This window comes from Homo sapiens, chromosome 7 (assembly GCF_000001405.40).
Source record: "Homo sapiens chromosome 7, GRCh38.p14 Primary Assembly".
Lineage (NCBI taxonomy): Eukaryota > Metazoa > Chordata > Mammalia > Primates > Hominidae > Homo > Homo sapiens.
In genome coordinates this window covers 127100024-127119350 of record NC_000007.14, presented here as the reverse complement: position 1 = coordinate 127119350, position 19327 = coordinate 127100024, and the positions used below count along the sequence as shown (strand labels likewise).

At 40.2% G+C, this 19327-nt stretch overlaps 1 protein-coding gene across 23 annotated transcripts in view; it reads left to right on the top strand.

Moving 5' to 3' along the window:
• The window catches only part of GRM8 (glutamate metabotropic receptor 8), an 814344-nt gene that overhangs the window by 133591 nt on the left and 661426 nt on the right, over positions 1–19327 (top strand). For 12 of the 23 annotated variants that reach the window (NR_163850.1, NR_163849.1, NR_028041.1 and 9 more), the window contains one exon: positions 12639–12855. Coding sequence is in view for 18 of the 23 variants with exons in the window: in NM_000845.3 (NP_000836.2) it covers positions 12639–12855 (217 nt within the window). In the remaining 5 variants the exon portion in view is untranslated. The other 11 variants (XM_047420269.1, XM_047420272.1, XM_017012078.2 and 8 more) reach the window with 11 other exon arrangements.

The following is a 19327-nucleotide window of genomic DNA, read 5'->3' as shown; positions in this document are numbered from 1 at the left end:
CCATGCCTGGCTAATTTTTGTATTTTTAGTAGAGATGGGGTTTCACCATGTTGGCCAGGTTGGTCTTGAACTCCTGACCTCAAGCAATCCCAACTCGGCCTCCCAAAGTGCTGGGATTACAGGTGTGAGCCACCACGCCTGGCCCCATTTCTTGGTTCTTGCCTCTGCTCCCCATCGCCTGTTGTATTTAGATGTGCTCTCTCTGAACTTGGGAACTTGGCTAGCCCTTTTTGCACTTACCTTCCCCTGTTGACCTATGTGATTGCTGTCCAACCTGCCCCAAACTTGTCTCAGACCATTTTGTTGGTACCCAACTGGGCCAGGAGGCCCCCCTCCCCAGAAGGAACAGTAGCAATTGGGATTGATGAAAACCAATGGAGGCAGATAATATTTAGCTGATCTTAGATGCTAGTATCTCCTATTCACTGTGATACCATATATGGCAATGGCTGGTGATGTCCAAGCTCCAGCCAAGCCATGACTTACAACCATAAAGGAGTTGTAGATGTGAACAGAGGTGGAAACGGGGAGGAAGCTGAACACCTGTGGGAAAAAAAGCTACTGAAGAATTAATATCAGATTTAAAAATGGACCCAAAGTAGCGGAGAGTAGAGGAGTTTAAGAAATGAATCCGGGGTCAGACTACCTGGATTTGAATCTTATTCTGTCATTTACAAATTACTTGGTCTTGGGCAAGTTACTTCTCCAGATTATGGTTTAGTCATTCATGAAATGAAGCTAGAGCACTAAGCACAGTTCTTGGCCAATATAACATGTTAAATAAATGTTGGCAAAATGAACATGTACACATGTGTACGCACACACACATACGCACACATTATGGAATACGACACATAAAGAAGGCTTATAGAGAGCAGTAAGCTAGGCTTCCCAAAAATGTTCATAGGATGAAAGGGCTAATCAATTTGTTTAGGGGAAACTTAATGTATTGCCCTTTGGATACTGAGATGATGCCTTCTCAGAGGAACATATCCTTGCATTCTGTAGTATGTAGTGGAATAAAGGACTCTGAGTCATTTACATCCTTTTATCAACTTTTCCTGTTACCAATGATGTCCATTTATGAAATCAGCTTTTTGGTCTTTGCAAATGGAGTGGGTTTTCCCCCTGTGTAAATGGAGCTCGAATGAAGACGTTTAACCTCATGCGTACCTTCTTCTAATCTACTAAGTTTACTAACTTAGGTAACAGAAAGTAAATGAGAATTTCCAGTGCTATTAGGTGTTCAGAATCAGTACCTGAATGCTAGCTGGGAGATAAATAATGACTTGAAGACTAAGATTTTGTGAATGCGGATAATCACTAAAAATCCATGAAATTGCCAGCCAGGAAACTTACTTGCATAAACGTCCTTATCAACATTCTTCTTTATTTGCAGGAGTCAAATCATGTACTATTGGCTGGCAGAATGCCAGTCTAAATCGAATATTTGCCAGCTTAAAGTTTATTGACTTCAATTTGTTAGTTATAATTACTGACTTTTTATTTTATAATGTTCTAGTGCTGACATGCTTGGGGGAAAAATTGAACCACAGCAGTGATTGCACAGTAAGGAAATCAGCAGAAGAGGAAAATTAAATGCTAGGTGATAGTTTGAAGTCAGCAGTGATGGGAATGAGTGGGTGGGAGAGTTAAATTTTTAAGTAACTTAGCAAATGATGCTAATAAAGTGCCATGGCATCGTTTTGGTTTTTCTATTATAACACAATGTAATTTATTATTTTTTGTACTCATGTAAGAAAATCACTTTATAGAAAACTTTCACTGTCTTAAGCAGCTCATTTCAAAACTTCCCCTAATTTTTCTTTTGAAGAATAATCAGAGATTTCATCTTGAAATCCCAAACTGCTTGAAAACTTTTCCAAGAAGATATCAAAGAAACTGGCAGAAACAGAAAGAATGAAATCAGGGAATGCAGTTCTCCATGTCTCCCTGGGATGCTGCCTCATTGAGCAGAGTTTCCAGGGGTGGACAGATGCATGTATTTCTCTTTCCTCCTCTTGAGAGGTGCAGAAAATATATATTACCTTGTAAAGAAACAAACCAAAGCAAAGCAAAGCAAAGCCAGGTTCTTTTAGAATTAGTTCTAACCTGCTTCTCATATAGCTTGAAGTCCTATCCCAAAGCCTTCACTGCCTGAGTACAAAGAAGAGAGTTTCCTCCTACTTTTCAATCACTTATTTTTTACTTTCCTAAGGAAGGAAACAAATATTAGAGCTTATAAGTAATATAAGTATACATTTATTTTTTTTCTGGACTCTTGACTTAAAGTTGCTTCTTAGTGTCTTCAGTTTTCATTCATCTGTTTACCTTTCATCTATCCATTCATTTATTCATGCCTTACCCTTACAAGCCTCAGGACTCAGAGATCTGTGAGAATGTAATGCAAGTCCCTGCTGATAAATTACGTAGCATTTTCTTGATAGTCCTGGCATAAGAACCCCAGTTTTGCATATAGTATTTGAAAACATTATTTGTAATATGCATGGGAGACGGTGGTCTATGGTTTAATATTTTTCAGCCTGTGGCAAGTTTTCTAAAATTAAGTACCTGTCAGTAGACTGCCTGTCCTCTTCATTTCTGCAAATTGGGTAGTATACACATCTGAAGGAGATCTCAAGTGAGAGGCAATCTGTGGCTGGTGTTCAGTGTTCATTCCTTTTTCTTCTTCATTTTTCAATGTGTCAACTTAATGTCACTTCATCAGGGAAGCTTGCCCTGTCCCTTGCGGACCAGGTGAGTGGCCCTGTAACTCTTAGCGGCAGGTTCATAGCTTTCACAACAACCATTACAATTGCCGTTAAATGTTTATTTGGTTGATTATTTATTGAATGCCTGCTTTTTCCATTTGGTCATATGTTCCATGGGGCTGGGAGGACCATGTGTTGTTTACAGTCCTGTCTCCAGGGCCTGTCACCGTGTCTGGCATGTAGTGGGAGCTAATTTGTTGAATGAATTAATAAAAAAGTAACCATTAAAGAACATTTAACTATTAGAAGAAGTGTATGTATTGGTTTAGCCTTCTAAATTTCTGTGTAATTTTGCATATGCACTGATTATAATTTTTTAGAATCACAGAGTACTGAAATATATGGAAATTTAAATAAAACTGTTCAATTTTTTAAAAAGGCAAAATTGAAGATAAGGAGATGCTATAAACTAGAGAAACTATAAAATTAGTTGGAATATTAAAGTCCTCTTTTTAATTTTTTGAGTGGCAGTGTCTTTCTCTGTCACCCAGGCTGGAATACAGTGGTGCAATTATAGCTCATTGTCACCTAGAATTCCTGGGCTCAAGTGATCTTGCAGCCTCGGCCTGCCAAGTAGCTGGGGCTACAGGTGCACCACCATGCCTGGCAAATTTTTTAATGTTTTATAGAGATGGAGGTCTCACTGTGTTGCCCAGGATGGTCTCAAACTCCTGGCCTTAAGGGATCCTACAGCCTCAGCCTCTCAAAAGGCTGTGATTACAGATGAAAGCCACTGGGCCCAGCCTAAAGTCCCTTTCTTTGAAAGTGAAGGTTTTAAATCCAACTTGCTAGTAAAACTTTTAGGGTAGTTAGGCTTAAAAATCCCCACACTACTAGTGACTTGATGGATTAGAACAATTCTTTTCCTAAGGAGCTGTTGTGCTTTCTTATTGTAAAATGTAATTAGCAGATGTAAAAAAAAAAGGTTTATTAATCTTATGGGGTAAAATTATGGTTGCTTATATGTAAATTATTTCATGTTCATAGATTGCTTCTCTTTTATTTTAAGTAAACAGGTTAGAAGTCAAAATGCCATTACCAATTTGATTAAAATCATTACATTTCTTTCTAAAACATGATATTAGTTATTTTATTTTCCATAAGAAATCCAGACTTCATTAGTCTAATCTTAGGATTGGGATTTTCAGTAGCCAAATCAAAATGTCTTAGTGTAGATTTTCTGTCAAAAATATTTGAAAGCATCAAATTATGAAAGAGTAATATAATGTAGAAAACTGAAAATCTGCACAGCTCTCCATACATTTAGTTCACATGTCCAGTGAGCAATGATTAATGGTGCCTGGGCTAGATAGCTTCTGCTTGGCCTGCCACAACCACTTTCTTTTGCTGTCTGCTGGCTGCCGTGGAAGGTTCCTTTGTGCAGGCAAAGTCAAGTTCTCTTGCTCTCTGGCTTCCAATAGATTTGGTCAGAGGGAGACCCAGCAGGAGGTGTGTATGAGGGAGAGGTCAGAATGCAATTTCCTTTTGAGGTTGCCAGGGGCTGGCTGTGTCCTTTTAGAGAGATTACTGCACCCCTCAAGGTGGCTTCCGTTCATGACTCTGTAACTGCTCTCTCTCTTAGGGCTCATGGGTAACAACTGCCAACCTCGACCTCTGACTCCTTCTAGGTTGTGGCTTTCCACTGCCTTCTCTATATGCTGCTCCTGCCTTGAAAATAGTCCCTTTATTTAGTCTCCTTGAGTCATTTGTTTTCTTTCCCTCTATGACTCATACAATACCCATGAAAAGGAGGTGAGAAAATGTACCCTTTTACAATTCAATGGTCTATTCAAATGAATTATCTGAAATCAACATATGACTTTGTAAGTGTAATATATATTTATACTTTCAGGCAGATATAGATACAAAAACACTATGTTTTGAAGAAAGTGTGTCTCATGATTTGCTGCTAAAATTTTAGGTTCACCATTAGTAGCAAACCATCTTTGAATTATTCATCTAGCAGTGAGAATGGATTGATCTTGTCTCTCCTCTCTCTGGTTGACTTTGTTATGTGCTCTGTGTTTGTGAGAGGAAGATTCTGGTGAGGGGTGTGGTCTTCATCCTGGCCCATAATGGAATTCAACTCATGACCTTAAACCTACTAACTGTGTTACACTCAGCTGTGTTAACTAACCACAGGCCCCTTTTGTGCAGGTGTGTATGTAAAGCTTTGCTTGGTCTTACTGAGCTCATGTTGGGGAGATAGATAAAAATATGGTGCAATATAGTGTACTCCTGGCTCTCCTTGACCCCATGATTTCCCCATTTCAATAGGCTTCCTCTCCTTTGCTTTTGTTAAACTCCATTGTGCATCAAAACCCAAAGGCTCACATCCTGCTCTGAATCAACTATGGGAACTCAACTGAGAAGAAAAGGTCAGAGACTGAATTTCCTATTTGACACCAACTTGTACAAACAGGAATCTTAATAACTGTCGACTATGAGGACAGGATTATTCTGAGCCAGTCCTGATTTGGGGAAGGAATACTACTACTTCATGTTTTTGGATGCAAACTTGGGGTAGTCATCCATCTTCTTTTTTGTTTCACACTCTGGCTTTACATTTCCTTTCTTCTTTTCCCTCTCCTTAGCCTGTTTTCATGAAGGTGGGAGGAGCATGAAAGCTCAGGGCAGTGTCGGGAGAGTTGGGCCAGTGCTGGACATTGACTTCTAGCCCTAACTCCTCATTTATATCTAATTTCTGATTATATACTGATGTTTTGCCACAAGCAACTAGTAGTTTTAATACTAGAGAGCAGTCAAGTATATAAAAAGACAAAGTTAATGGCTATAATAATTATGCTTTTTTTTGACCTGAGTTTTGCAGCAAAAACAAATCTACCCCAAGGCCAGGTGGTAGGAAGCTATCATCCTGATGGCCGCTGTTGCTAACCACCATCACTGGAAAAGTGCTTGGTCAAGCACTACCCCCTAAGGGAAGAATGTGGCTTCAAGCTGATCTTTCACTGGAAAAAACCAATGATGTTATTGAGTAGCACAAAGAACCCACCCCGCCAACCTACTTCACCAATTAAGTTCCATGATCAATGGACAAGGTTGTTTGCAGAGAACAAAAACCTTTTTTGGCAGGGGGGAAAAAAACAAAAAAAAACCCTTTTTCATGGTGAAAATATACGTGATTCAGGTCTTAAATTGTCTTCTGTCTGCAAATCTGTACTCAGATGTATGCAAGTTTCTTGCAGAAAGATTGAAATTTCCTAGAATTTGGAGGAGCTTCCTCTAAGCTGTGCTTTAGGTGGCTTTTTGCTAGCCTTGTCAGGGGTGTCTTGGCTTCCTTGGGATATTTAGCAAACCAGTAACTGTGGTGAACAGATGAAAAACTTATGGCATTCTGAATAGACAAGGCAAGTTTCAAGCTTATTGCAATGTTTTGATGTGCAAGCAGTGGGAAACCTTGAGGCAGCTGAAGTTGTTCTTCCTTGGGCCACAAAAAGTATTTCTGGTATCTAAAAGTCTCTGATCCCCTTGGAGCCTCAGAGACCCTTTATTTCATCACTCAGTCATGTACAGGAAGGCTCAGTGAAGGCAACATGGAGAGACACAGTTGGTTTGGGGGAGATGTAAGCACTTTTTTCCCTGTCTGGAATATCTATCTTACAGATAAAGATAAGAAAGAAGGGGTAAATGATTAAATAATCTATGATGTTGACCTTTGATTAGAAATGTAATTTTTATTCTTTAATGACACATTGAAGTCCGTGGGCTGTCAAGGTGTTTGCCAAGGTAGTTATGAAGTTTTCATGGCCATTTTTGGCATTTCAAAAAGCAAAGTGGCAGTTGTAAGCTTCCCTACGAGAAGACTGCACAGGCTACAACTGAAGCGGCACTTCGGTGATTTGAACTGGAATTCCATCACTTCAGCTTGGTAAAAACAGATGCCTTGTGCTGATCAGAAGTTTTGCAGCTGAACAGATCTTTGATTAAAAGAGAATATTGGAAATGGGTGGTGTTTTAACTTAAATAGTTTTATAGAAAAATATTTCAAAGTTAGGATACATGGAAGAAAATAACAAAAGGGGTTCTTGATTAATGGATGGATGGGCTCATTTTACTTTCAATGAATATTTATTGAACACCTACTATCTCATGGGAGCTCATGTTACATCTGTGAACAATGCAGAAAATAACCCTGTGGAATCTACATGTTAGTAGGGGAAACAGAATACACAAATTAATGCAGGTGGTGAAAGAGGAAGGAAATAAGTAGAGTGATGAGGTCATAATGGAAGGTGAGGAGACAACACTAGATGGGGTGGTCAGGGAAGGTCTGTTGAGCTGAGGCTGAAGGATGAGAAAGGCCAGGAAGGACTTACTTGGGAAAATGTTTGTGGTGATATGTATGAGTGCTGCAGGTGAAACAAAAAGGAAGCCAGTGTAGTTGGATCAGGTGAGTGAGAGGGATAGGTGGTCAGTTGCCAGTTCAAAGGATCCTGTGACAGGAGGTCTGGGCTATATTCTAAGGGCAATGGGGAAATGATTGAAGGACTCTAAACAAGATTTTTCTAAGATCTATTTTGTGTTTTTTTTTTTTGAGACAGAGTTTTGCTCTTGGTGCCCAGGATTGCAATGGTGTGATTTCGGCTCCCTGCAACCTCTGCCTCTCGGGTTCAAGTGATTCTCTTGTCTCAGCCTCCTGAGTAGCTGGGATTACAGGTGCCCACCACTATGCCTGGCTAAGTTTTGGTATTTTTAGTAGTGATGGGGCTTCACCGTGTTGACCAGGCTGGTCTCGAACTCCTGACCTCAGGTGATCTGCCCACCTCAGCCTCCCAAACTGCTGGGATTACAGGCGTGAGACACCGCACCCAGCCTTTAAGATCTGTTTTTGTAAAATACCAGTTTTCTTGCTGGTGTGGCATAGATTTGAGAAGAGCATGAATGGAAGCATGAAGAAAAGTCAAGTGGCTTTAGGAATCCAGATATCACAGTGGCTTGGACTAGGGTGTGGCTTTTTGCTCCACCATTGCTAGGTCATAGCCTAAGATGGCTAATGGAGTTCCAGGCATTATGTCCAAATTCTAGCCAGCAAGAAAGAGGGAGGATCATGAAAAAGGCATGCCTTCTCCCTTTAAGGATCCTTTTCAGAAGCTTCACTTACCATTTCAAGGAAGGCCAGGAAATGTAGTCACGTTCTGGGTGGTTAGGTAAAAACTGGAGGTTTCATCTAGAAGGAGAACAGACACTAGAAGACAATAATCTCTGCTAACTCCTATTAATAATATATGTAAATGAATTTCTTTTGAAATATAATTTTAATCTTGAGCTCTAAGTTAAATTTTTGGAATTTCTCAGAGTTTGCAAGTCCAATATTCACAGAATAGCTAGTTAAATGTAGATTAAGTAATTAGCTTTATTAACATCTGGGCAAGCACCAAATAACTCCCCAGGCACATGACTATCTGCTAAGAACTGCGTTCGAGATAATTCAGCTTGAACCTGTGCCTCCTACTCTTGCACCATATCTCAACCTTGGGACCCACTTCTGCCTGCACGGAAGACTTAAAGTTCACTTGCAGTGAGTAGCATGGACTTCAAGTATTTCTCAAATGTCTGGTTGCCAGTGGAATATGGAGAGAAGAGGGTGGGCTTCCTTTCCAAGAATTGAGGCCCAGCATGGTCTCATGACATTATAGAGAAAAGAAGCCTGAGATGTATGTGGACAGGTCAGAGAATAAAGAGAGAGCCTGCTATCCCCTTTTGCCCAATAAACGTAGAACTCTGGCTTTGATTTCTTTCCCCCTCCATGTTGGGGAAAGTCAGTAAAGGAACGGAGAGTGAGAGAGGAAATGTTTGTTCTGGAGCTCCCAAAGAGAATGGAGTTGGGAGGTAGGAATCTCCTCTTCTGTGGGCTGAAGTGAGAATATAGTGAGAGAAGAAAAAGCGTTTTTCCTAACCAAAATAATTGTTAGAAAAGTGGAATCCAAAACAATTTTTTTTTAAAAAAAGAGGATGATGAGTGTCCTGAGTTGTATAATTAATTGACTCAAATACGCTTCATTTGAGTAATAGAAATATGGCCTTATTTAAGCACATATGATATTTTTATGAAGTCTCAGCACAAAGAAAATAAGAAATGAAGGAAAGCAAAATGACAGGTGTTTTCAAATATGCAGTAGGATGCCTTAGGGAAATGAAGAAGAAAGGAAATGAGAAAGTCACCTAGGGACAGTGGTAGAGAAGGCTGGAAGGGCAGGTGGCTAGAGAAGGGCTAAGAAGTTAGGGCAGGGCTGAGATTGGGGAGCCACAGCAGTGTTGTCTTCTACAGAGACTTGTCATAGGGGAGTGTTCATCAGGCTTCTGGCACACCCAGGGGTAATGAAAGGGCAGTTCACAAAAAGATTATTTGTAAGTGTGGGCACAGTTAGAAAAAACAAGGGATGATGAAGTGCTTCGGAGCCAACAGCAGTGGGGAGACCTTACAGGGGCAATGGTACAGAGTGGTCACTGGAATCTGGCAAAAGCTTTAGCTGTGGGTGAGGGGTTAGGTGGAGAAACAGAGCCAGTGGAAAAAGAAACTGTGGGATAAATACTCTAACTTCTTTCTGTCGCCCCTCGCCCTCCCATGTTCTGCTAGTGCCTCCGGGACAAACTCAACTAGAAGCCAGAGGCAAGGAAGCCCAGGCAGTATGGTCATAGAGAGCAGCCTCCTAGGGTCTTTGGCAGGATAGGGAAGGATCAGGAGGGTCGAATGGAGAATAGCCTGCACAATATTTTGGTGGAATGCAAGGGAGGAGGTGGTGGGGAAGAAGCTGTATTAAATTTCCTGCAGCAGTTTAATTAATTAATTGCCCTCAAACATTCATTGAGCACTTGGTCTGCCTGGTGTTGGGGATGCCAAATAAAGAAACAGAGACCCTGCTTGGTCTTGAGAGGATCATAAGCCAGCAGAGTCATGATTCTAATGTTAGATGGCGGAGGCTTTGGAAGACAGGAATAGCAAAAGACAGCTCTGCCTGATGGAGTTAGTGAACTGTCCCCAGATGGAGGTGACTTTTGAGCTGGATATTGAATTTGTATAGAGGATCATTAGATAGAGGAGAGCATTAAATCTCCCTGGTATGGAGAAGGGTGCAGATGCTGTGAGAATATGGAGAGAAGGTACAGGTCAGGGGAGGAAGATGAGACAGAATCTGATGATCTTTGTGAACCAGACCGAAGAGTTTGTATTTTATCCTTTACATTGGCCATGGGAGTTAACAGAGGCTTATAAAAGACACTACTTTTTTTTTTAAAGGATGGGGGAACTGATAATGGGTGCTTTTCCTAGCAACTTCTTTTCTTGGGATGCTTTTCTTCTTTTTCCTTTCATTTTTTTCCTCCGCTTCTCTTCACCATTCACCACCTTTTTTTCCATTGCTGTGTTTCTGGTAGATGAAACCTCCAAGGTTAAGTGGGTAGTTGCAGTGAATTTGATGTAGGGAAAATAAAAGGAACATTCCAGGTCTTTAAAAAATTTTTACTTCAGTTGCCAGTAGGGTTTAATTTGCGGGTGGTAGAAATACTGGGGATGCTGGGACAGAAATTAAAATGCTTAATGAACCAATGCTTAGGGGTCTACCACAATAAAATAAAAATGAGATGTGACTTCATGAAAACTTGAAAACTTGTCTTGAAATACTATTCATATACCCTGATGTGTATTATTGTAGAGTGAAAAAATAAAAATACAAATGCATACTCTTGCATTGCTTTCCCACACATTGATCTGCAAAGAGAAAACTCTTCAAGACTTTGGGGAGAAAGTCCATTACTGAATTAATCAAACAACCATCTTCTATCTGCACTTTTATTTTATATACCCTTTACACCTGTTTAATTAATCCTAAACATGAGGCTGACTGCTAATTAAACAGCCTGGAAGTGACTGACTGAAGGTAGTAATTTGAGATAATTAGTTTTGGTTTCAAACACTCAATTTTCACACTTTCTGCTCATTTTTAGAAAGGGTGGCTCATTATTATAGGCAGGGTGGGAGTTGTGTAAGTCATTTTACTGCTGGACTCTTAGTAGCTCAGGAAGTGGGAGTATCGGTATCCAAATAGGACAAAGAAATGGTGTAGGGCTATATATTTTGCTATAGAATGCTCCCCTATTCCCTTCCCCCCACACAACCCCTACTCGCACATACATATAATTTCTTCTAAAGTGAAAGTCAGATGGCTGACTTATTTTCGTTAGGATATAGGAATGCACATACTTTTGATATTTGGGAAATTTTTACCTAGTAAGAGGTAGATCTCACTAAGTTATCCATGGTTTCCTTCCCAGGTCCTCTGAAAACAAACAAGAAAAGGTGAGAAAGGGCAAGATTTGGTGTGTGGTTTGAGATTTGGAGGGGTGTCCTTGCGAGTAGTCATGTACTATGCAGTCACAAAATCTAACCAGGGGAAAAATTTGTCAAGGTAAGGTCAGTATATCTGGCAGAGAAGGCAAAGGGCAGGAGGAGGTGGGTCAGATGGTTTTCATGGTCCCACAGTGTTAACAAATAAGTTAACACAGTCCCCACTAGGAGAACAGAACCAGAAAGAATTTGGGGTTAAATGGGCCACGCTATTCTGGGTACTCTCTGTTACGGCCAATGCAGGTGGATCCAAGTTACATGGAAGCTGAATGAATAGTCAGCACCATGGACAGCTCCAAGCACATTGCTCTGCTGCTGCTCCCGGGATGACTTTTACGTTTTAGGAACTTCACTGTCATTTCACTGGCCACTAGTAGGGAACAGGACTCTCTAGACTTAGGAAGGTTATTTAGATGTTGAGAGCTTTACAAGTATGTCAAGGGTGGAGTTGAAATGTTTATATAGATTGGGAATCATCTGTCTACACTGTAGTGGGGACTATTGGATCCCAGAGTGTGCAGCCCTGTGGGGAAAGATGGAACTGCAACTCCGACATCCTCTTTGAGCACTGACATTAGCTGCAACATGTGATGTAGCATAAAGTTAATTTTTTCATGTACAAGTCAAACCTGCATCTTCAAGTTACCTGAATTAGGGCATCTTGGAGTCACTTTGATCTCTGAACTTTCACTCATACCACAGCATGGCAGCAGAGGAGTTACTATACACAATCACATAGCTCACTCTCCCACATTATTGAGAAATGACATAGGATTCCTCATTTCAAAGAATTTCTGGCAATTCACCCCATTAAAAGAAAAATAGTCTCTTCTAAAGAATTTATGGTCTGGATTCCCTTTTCTGTGATGTTTTGAAGGGGGTTAGAATGATGTTTCTATGAGAGGATATGTGGCTGCTGGCAATTCTCAAATCTTTTTGTGGCACTCTGATTATATCAATAAACAGTCAATAGACTTGCAAAACTATATATTTACAATAATTTACTAAAAATATAGTCTTAAGACTGAAATGGTATCAAGTATAAAAAAATCTTATATTAAATTCCCTGTTAGTCATTGTATAGCATTTATGTCCTATAAAGCCAAAGCCAGTTTCAGAGGTGACCTTTTCTGATGTATATGCCTTCATTTTTCTCTCCTTTCTGCACCAGAGCTTATCATGTACAGACTAAAAAAGCAACATCAACAAAAAGCAACATCAACAAAAAGCACAAATGTTTTGCTTTGGCTCCAGAAACAATGGAAACTAAAGCAAAATGAAATTCTTTCTCACTGTTTAGAAATATTGTGCATTGAGAGAAAGTAAGCCTATGGGCCATTCAAAAATACTTTCCAATTAAATTGGTAGTCATAAAACTGTATTTTGGCTTCAGGTTGATATGTCTAGGTTTCTGGTATAGCCTTGGCTGTTTAGCTCATATGACAATCCATCATTCTTCAAGATTCGTCATGGGTTGAAATGACCCATCATTTGTTTTGCAGATACCTCAAATCAGCTATGCATCCACAGCCCCAGAGCTAAGTGATAACACCAGGTATGACTTTTTCTCTCGAGTGGTTCCGCCTGACTCCTACCAAGCCCAAGCCATGGTGGACATCGTGACAGCACTGGGATGGAATTATGTTTCGACACTGGCTTCTGAGGGGAACTATGGTGAGAGCGGTGTGGAGGCCTTCACCCAGATCTCGAGGGAGATTGGTAAGCATATATTTATCAGATGATTGTATTTGGAGGTGACAGATTGCTGATGCCTGAGCATCTCCAAGTGCTCTCTTATCTGTAGGGAATAATTGGAACTCCTACAGATGCATGAACTAGGCTGTCCACTCTAGAGGGAAGCTGGGTTTATTATAAATGATTTTGTTGTTCATAGGTCTATCAAGGTGACACTTTGGTGCTAATTTAGGAAGTAGGACTCCTGACTCAAATGAACATTTTTTAAAGTTGTCTGTTTTGACAAGGGAGTTTGCTGGCACATTAGAGCCACTGTAAATTTGAATAAATGACATACTATTTGATTGTTCTAGATGGAAGTTTACATTAGCAAGTCATTAAATTTAAAAAAAGTCAGTGGAATTTAACATCCAACACTAGAGGGACTAAGTCTAGTAATCATCTTAAAACAATGCTGAAGTAGCCCTCAAGGCTATACTTAAGCAATATTCTTATTGTCATATTTGACTTTTTGCGTTTTTATTCTTAAAACTCTGAAGCTTAGGGTGTGATGAAGGACAAGATGTAAAAACTTGTTTACAACAAGGTGCTGCTGATGTCTGTCCTGGGCATTTTTTTCAAGGTGCTTATCCAAGTGTCTAGGCATTTTACCATCTTGTATGTGTACGATGAGGTTGTAAATCCATTCCACTACTTTGAAAACACAGAGCAAAACAAAGGAACAACTTAGAGCACAAATCTTAACTGCTGATTTGTCAACAACATATCTTTGTGAATTAAGTATGTTGTTGTTACTTAAGTACTATTATTCTTATTAAGAATGAATGAATTTTTCTATAAGAGTAATATTTTGTGGAAAAATTAAAGTGTCCATTGATTTTTTTCAGTAATTTTGAGCCTGAAGGAAGACATTATGTTGATAAATTTATTGTTTTTCTTAGAGGCCTCGACTCAGAGAAAGATCATGGGAATGATTTGGGCTTAACCATAATTACCAAGGACAAAAAGTCTGATGTTATTGAAGTAGGATGTTCACTTGAGAGACTTGCAGATGACTGCAAGCTTTTCTGTACATAGTAGGACATAGAAAAATTATAATACACAATATTTAGTATCTTTAACATTTGTTCTACATTTGTGCTATTGCAGAAAATGTATGAAAGGCCTGGTCTTGTTGGACAGATTGGGCTAATTGATTTAATTGGACAACTGTTCACACCTGCTGTAAGTGTGCATTATGCCATAATCTTTGCTCTCTGGGAATTTATATCATTACTGCTATAAAACTGATTCAAAACATTCAATTGGTCTTTAAATTATGACAAATTATATTATCTTCTTGGGTAAAAATCTAAAGTTTATCCTTAGAGGAAATGCCCACTCAAATGAAAACAATAGCTTCTGGAAACAGGGTTAATGTATTATTTAAGCAGCTGATGTCAGTTCTTACCAGAGTGATAATTTAGCAAGAGGAGAAAACTAATAGAGTATGTATTGAAATAAGTTTTCCACAGTGATCCTGGACATTCTGCAACTTGAGGACACATTTTGTGTGCATGAGATAGATTACTATAAAAAATTCAAAACAGGACATAATCTGCCATTTGTTGCAGAATCCAACAAAATGGATTGTTCTAAAAGTTAAGTGAAACCACAGTTTTATTCTTTTGACTAAAATAAGAAATACTTAGTTTTTATTTTTTAGGGAGCATTGCTGTGCTTTGGTAATACTGTCACATAAAAGGATTTAGATGGTGCCATTCATTACTCCTGTTTCTATCATAGTCATTAGCATGGGAGAAAATAATTTTGGTGCCTTGTATATGCTCTTGATTAGAGCAACACATTTCTTCTGTGTTGATCTTTTCAGTATTCTGTGACTTGATTGGTTGTCCATTCTATTTCAGTTCTCACTTATCTGGGGAATGGAGGAGGGATGGATTGTTAATTAATATGCAGAATACTGAAAAGGCCAAATTAGTACCACACTGGAGTATGCCATGGAATATATTAAATATCAAAATCATCCCTCATTTTAATGACAAAGATTTTATCTAGAACAAAAATAGCTGAAAATTAAACCTTTTACATGACAATGATGTTAATGGGAATGGCAAATGGTAGCAACTTAACCCATTCTGAAATTATCTGATGTCTCTAATGAAAATTCATTAGTTCTGTAACATTTGCAGCTCTTACTACAACATTGATGACATCTGTCACCATGTTAGTAGTGTGTTTTTAAAAAAAAACCTCAGTAGCTTGAGTGAGAAAGAGATGTATACATTCAATTTTTTTGGAGTGTCTGCCCATTAATAAAATTGTATATTTCCCCAACTCATAATGTTTTCTGTACTTTGTTCTGAATTTCTCTTTAGCAACATCGATTGCTAAGAAGTTTCAGTGTAAATTGAGGCTTCCTCTGTCTTACCTCTGATTAACTCAAGCAGATCATAATGGAATGATGGTGAAATGAAAATTGGGTTAGTGATAAATTGCTTGTACAGTTTGATTAGAATGTTTTTCATTTTAAAAAAATCAGACTTGGGAAAGTGTCCTTTGCGAATCTGGGAGAATGAAGTTTATGAGTGTATGGTGGTCATTGATCAGACCTCAGTGATGGCTCTTCCCTAGTTGAGATCTTTCTGAGTGGGAGAGGGCCAGGAGACACTTGGTAAAGACAAATAGCCCCTTGATATCCCAGCTGTTATAGTGTCATCCCAAGGCATCTCTTGACTATAGGATTATTGCTGGAGAAGGAAAAAAACATATTTGGTATCAGCAAATAGCACAGTTTTTCTGACTGGAGCATAGTTTGTTTAGTGAATTATGGGAGACAAAATTGGAAGGTTTGACATAGACACATGATTATTTCAAATCATAGGGTGTTTATTTTATCCTTAGTTTTCTAGACAATGGAGGTGTGTTAGACCATTCCTGCTTTGCTATAAAGAAATCCCTGAAAGTGAGTAATTTATGAGAAAAGAGGTTTATTTATTGGCTCATGGTTCTATGGGCTGTACAGGAAGCAAAGTGGCATCCACTACTGGGGAGGCCTCAGGAGGCCTACAATCATGGCAGAAGGTGAAGCAGGAGCAAGGGGAGGAGGTGCAACACACTTTTAAATGAACAGATTTTGTGAGAACTCACTATCTTGAAGACAGCACCAAGCAATGAGAGATCTGCCCCCATGACCCAAACACCTTCCACCAGGCCCTGCCTCCATCACTGGGGATGACATTTCGACATGAGATTTGGGTGGGGATAAATATCCAAACTATATCATTCCACCTTGGCTCCTCTCAAATCTCATGTCCTTTTCCATTGCAATAGTCTCCCCAAATGTTAACTCATTGTAGCATTAACTCAAAAGTCCAGACTTGGTGTGATGGCTCATGCCTGTAATCCCAGCACTTTGGGGGGCTGAGGTGGAGTTTGAGACCAGCCTGGCCAACATGGTGAAACCCAGTTTCTACTAAAAATGCAAAAATTAGCTGGGCATGGTGGCATGTGCCTGCTGTCCCAGCTACTTGGGAGGCTGAGGCAGGAGAATTGCTTGAACCTGGGAGGTGGAGGTTGCAGTGAGCCGAGATTCCACCAATGCACTTCAACCTGGGTTCAAGCTGCTGGTGGATCTACTATTCTGGAGTCTGGAGGATGGTGGCCTCTTTCTAACAGCTCCATTTGGCAGTGCCCCCACTGGGGACTCTGTGTGGGGGCTCCAACCCCACATTTCCCCCTGACACTGCCCTTGTAGAGGTTTTCTGTGATGGCTCTGCCCCATCAGCAGGCTTCTTCCTGGGTGCCCAGGCTTTTCCATACATCCTCTGAAATGTAGGGAGAGGGTGCCAAGCCTCATCACTCTTTCACTCTGTGCACTTGCAGGCTTAATGCCATATGGAGGCTGTCAAGGCTTATAGTAGCTCATACTCTCCAGAGCAGTGGCATGAGCAATATCTGGGGCCCTCTGAGCCAAGGCTAGAGCTAGAGTGGCTGGGATGTGGGTAACAGTGTCCTGAGGCTGCACAGGGCAGTGGGGCCCTGGACCTGGCCCATGAAAGGACTCTTCCCTCCTATGGCTGTGATAGGAGGGACAGCTATGGAGGTCTTTGAAATGCCATGGAGGACTTTCCCCCATTGTCTTAGATATTAGGACTTGGCTCTTTTTAGTTATGCAAATATCTCTAGCAAGTGGTTGCTCCACAGCCTGCTTAAATTCTTCTCCTGAAAAAGCTTTTTCTTTCTCTGCCCCATGGCTAGGATATAAATTTTCCAAACTTTTATACCCTGCTTCCCTTTTAAATATAAGTTGCAGCTTTAAGTCATTCCTTTGCTCCCACATCTGATATAGGTTATTAAAAGCAGCCAGGCCACATTTTGAATGCTTTGCTGCATAGAAATTTCTTCTGCTGTATACCCTAGGTCATTACTTTCAAGTTCAAACTTCCACAGAGTCCTAAGGCATGGACATAGTGCATCCAAGTTATTTGCTAAGGCATAACACAGGTAACCTTTGCTCCAGATTCCAGTAAGTCCCTCATTTCCATCTGAGACCTCAGCAGCCAGGATTTCACTGTCCATATCACTATTAACATTTTGGTGAAAAGCATTTAACTGGTCTCTAAGAAGGTACAAAGTTTCCCTCATCTTCCTGTCTTCTTCTGAGCCCTCCAAACTCTTCTAGCCTCTGCCTGTTACCCAGTTCCAAAGTCACTTCCACATTTTCAGGTATCTTTATAGCAATGCCCCACCCCTCAGCACCAATCTTCTGTGTTAGGCTGTTCTTGCATTTCTATAAAGAAATACCCAAGACTGGGTAATTTATGAGAAAAGAGGTTTAATTGGCTTATGGTTCTGCAGGCTGTACAGGAAGCATAGCAACATCTGCTCCTGGGGAGGCCTTTTGAGGCTTACAATCATCACAGAAGGTAAAGCAGGAGCAAGCACACCACATAGTGAAAGCAAGAGCAAGAGAGAGTTGGGAATGGGGGAGATGCAACACATATTTAAGCAACCAGATCTTGTGGGAACTCACCATCCTGAAGATAGCACCAAGCCATGAGGGCTTTGCCCCCATGACCCAATACCTCTCACCAGGCCCCACCTTCAGCATTGGGGATTACAATTGCACATGAGATTTTGGCAGGGACAAATACTCATATTATATCAGGAGGAAACTGCTGAGGAGAGGGGGATCTATCAGAATGTATATTTAAGGTTGTACTATAAGAAGTAGAAGACAAGGAGACCAGTTCAGCGTCCATTGCAATAACAATCTTGGCCTGATATAGGGCAGTGATAATATAAATGGAAGAGGAGATAGACTTGGGGGTCATTTGTGAGGTGAAGTCTATGGAATTTAGTAACGGGACACAGAGCTTGAGGGTATGAAAGAAATTAAAGTTGAACTTGAAATTGCATACCTGGGCAACTAGGAAAAGGCAGGTACCATAAACAGAAAAGAGACAGTAAAATGAACACAGTAAACTTTAGGTACCAGTACATAGCTTTGTGGAGAAGAATAGCAAGGAACATTGATCTAGAGCCAAGCAGGAACTGAGATATAGATCAAAGCTCATTCTCATACAATTGATGGTTGAGTATGGAAAGGTGGTTGCTAAGGTGAGAAGTATAGGGGAATGAGGATGGACTCATGGGGAGAAGCTTTCATATAAAGGTATGTGATATGGTTTTTCTGTGTCCCCACTCAAACCTCACCTTAAATTATAATAATCCCCGTGTGTCAAGTGTAGGGCAAGGTGGAGATCATTGAATCATGGGAGTGGTTTCCCTCATACTGTTCTCATGGTAATGAATAAGACTCATGAGGTCTGATGGTTTAATAAATGGGAGTTCCCCTGCACAAGCATTCTTGCCTGCCACCATGTAAGACGTGACTTTGTCCCTCATTTGCCTTCCACTATGATTTGAGGCCACCCCCAGCCATGTGGAACTGTGAATCAGTTAAACCTGTTTCCTTTACAAATTACTCAGTCTTGGGTATATCTTTGTTAGCATTGTGAGAACAGATGAATACAGTGTGGGAATAATGGCCTAGACATTGCAATGGGAGGTAACAGTATGGTAGAGTGTTCTCTTTTCATGGGTTTATGGTCATGGGAGGGCTCTCAGTCTCCTTTGAAGAAGACTTCAATTATGGGAGATGATAAAAGGAGATCCTCAGAAAAAAATTTAAGGATGATGAGCAGTGTTTCATAAGAAAACAGGAACTTTTGCCAGAATGCATAGCTGAACGTGCACAGTAGGGTTGGGGTTAGGGCTAGGGTTCCTACATGAAGAGAGGTCCTTGAAAGGAGGCATTTTATAGTAAAATATAGTATACTAGTGGCTTAAAATAATAGAAATTTATCATCTCACAGTTCTGGAGACTAGAAATAAAAAATTAAGGTGGTTGCTTCTGAAATTTGTAGGAGAGAATCCCTCCTTGCCTCTATTAGCTTCTGGTGTTTGCTGACAATCCCTGGTATTCCTTGGC